General features: G+C 35.1%; 1 non-coding gene across 1 annotated transcript; it reads left to right on the forward strand.

Annotated features, from left to right (window-relative positions):
• Positions 1-327: 327 nt before the first annotated feature.
• On the forward strand, positions 328-539 carry LOC124906381 (small nucleolar RNA U3). The gene has a single exon (XR_007096346.1). It is a non-coding gene; the product is annotated as a small nucleolar RNA U3 (small nucleolar RNA).
• The last annotated feature ends 2387 nt before the right edge of the window (positions 540-2926 follow it).

Here is a 2926-nt window from a genome sequence, read left to right on the forward strand (position 1 = left end):
TATATAGGAAAGAGGCTTAATTAACTCACAGTTCAGCATGGCTAGGCAGGCCTCAGGAAACTTATAGTCATGGCAGAAGGGGAAGCCAACATATCCTTCTTCACATGGTGGCAGGGAGAAGAAGGAGAGCTGAGCAAAGGGGGAAGTTCCTTATAAAATCATCGGATCTTTTGAGAATTTACTGACTATCATGAGAACAGGATGGAGGAAACCAGCCCCATGATTCAATTATCTCCACCCAGTCCCTCTCATGACATGTAGGAATTATGGGAACTACAATTCAAGATGAGATTTGGGTGGGGACACAGCCAAACCATATCATTTATCAAGACTATTCTTTCAGGGATCATTTTTATGCTTTGTACTAGAAGTTTCTCTGAAAGTGTAGAGCACCATCAACTATGGGAAAGGGGCACAGCATTGTCTCCTAAGCATGAAGCCAGCTCTCTGTGTTGTGTTGCTGCAACTGACACTTGGTATTGATGATCATTCTTTCCCTCCCTCAAAAGAATAAGAGGGGAGGATGAAGTCTGAGAGGTAATTATTTAAAATAACTAATTAATTTAATATAATGCAGTTTATCAGGCAACAATATGTAGAGATTAAAATGCACGTTTGTTTCTATCATCTATAGAAGATACATCTTCCACAGTTTTTTACAGAAGGCTGTCATTTCTCTAAGGATTCACAATCAATATTCTTTGGTTTATACAGTGTATACATCCAGTAATCAGATACATTACTTGACATGTTTTTAAATGTTAACTTTCTTTGACATTTTAATATTTTAATCAGGAATTTCATTTCCCTAGATAAGATAGCTTTCATTATGAAATTGTGCTTTTTCAGTTCATTTGAAGGTGGCATTGTGTCTGAACTTTAGGAACAATGACTGAAGATAAAGATGTTAAAAAAACATCAAGATACAACAGAATATCATATAAAATTTTTATTAAGTTAAATGACATTAAATGAGAGTAGTAGTTTTAAAATATATCTACTAATTCTTTGACATGCCTTCCTTTAAGAAACGGAGCTTCATCCCCCACCCCTTGAATGTTGGGTGGATGTAGTGGCTTGCTTCTATCAAATAGACTATGTAGAAGTGATGGTGTGTGACCTTCAATATGAGGTCATGCAGGGCCTTGCATCTGTCTCTTCACTCTCTCTGGGATCACTTGCTCTGGTGAAAGCTGGTAATAGATACCATGTCATCAGAATACTCAAGCAACTCCATGTAGAGGTCCATGTGGACAGGAATGGATGCTTCTTTTCAAAAATCATCAAGGAATCAATGCCTTCTGCTAGAGTCATGTAATTGAACCATCCAGTAAGTGGATCCTGTAGCTACAGCTCCAGTGAAGTTTTTAAGATGACAGTAACTCCAGCCAACACCATGGCTTGACCCTCAGCCAGAACCATCCAGCTAAGCTGCCTTCAAATTTTTGACTCATAGAAATATGAGACAATAATGTTTTATGTTTTAAACTCCCAAGTATGTGGATAATTTGTTCTGCATCAATAAATAACTATTACAAATACCTTCCCTTATAGACCTTGACAAAAGATCACATCCTTTGATGTCCAGAAGTAAACATGAACTGACATGTGATAAATTCTGGAAACATTATCGGAAACAGAACTCCTTTCTTTTGACAAGCCCAATGCCCCCCCACCCACTGCCCATTTCAGCCCACCAATATCTTTACATCAATCCACTCTCCTATGATTCTTTCTCATCCAGATTTTCAGATTAGAATAATAAATCTAGTTCACTTTTGCTTAGATAGACTTAAATCAGTCAAGTTCTCTTATTTCATTTTTTGGTTTTTCAATGAGATTCTACAATAGGGATATCTATTTCCAGAAATCAGATAACTAACTTTTCACTTACAAATAAGGTATTTTTTAATTTCCATACTTCTGAATATTCTTGTTCTGACCTTGCCACGGAATTTCTATATACCTGTGGTCTTTTTACAGAAACTGTCTTGATATCATATTTAAATACATAAAGAATGATCTGTATCTTAACATTCTATGAATATATCAGCATATTCACTTTTTAATATAAATATTTCAGTAAAAGTTAATGTCAAATTACCTGGAGCAAGCAAACCTGCTGAGTAACTATTAAGGCAAAAACTGGGAGGCAAAAAATGGCTTTCTAAAGTGCAGAATCTTGGGAGTGACATAATTCTGTCAATGGTCAAATTGACTTCTCAGAAATCCCACTGTTCTGTGCAAGGAACTCCCAAACAGAATATCCTAAGAGTAATATTAACAACCCCAGTCAAATCCGCTTTCTATATTTTTTCCACCTAACTCCTCATAGGTTTTTTCGTTTATTCCAGAGTGGCGAAAGTTTTGTAATGTACTAGGGCAGAAAATTCTTACGGGAAAAAATAAACTTCATGTTTCTTTCTAAAATAGATACGTATTTCTTCCACTGCTTATTTCACTAATGTTATTTGGCTTGGTCAGCTACTGCGTATTGCATGATATTTTTTTTCTGGGATAAGTTATTTCAACTTCAAACTTGGAGGGTTTTTAAAAGAAAAACTGAAAACTATTTTTACTAAAAGGGCATGAGTCACAAATGATGGCTATACTTAATTAGTTTTCCAAATTTTATAATACTCCAAATTGTGGGTCAAACAGAATTTAACAAAAATAAAATGTTTGTGCAAATCCCCTTCCTTACATGTCTTCAAGCATCATACAGCAACACTGGAATGTGTTATGATAGAATTAATAATTCAGAGCGTGTCATTAGGAAAACTTCCCTGAAAGTTGATTTGAATATTATGTCAGTACTAAATTGGAATAAGGTATAACCAGAAACCCAAGTTTAAAGTCATAGTGACATTTAAAAATTGCTAAAATGAAGTACTGTGGCAATTTCAAATTAAGATTAACAATATTG

The sequence above is a fragment of the Homo sapiens genome, chromosome 3, assembly GCF_000001405.40.
Source record: "Homo sapiens chromosome 3, GRCh38.p14 Primary Assembly".
NCBI lineage: Eukaryota > Metazoa > Chordata > Mammalia > Primates > Hominidae > Homo > Homo sapiens.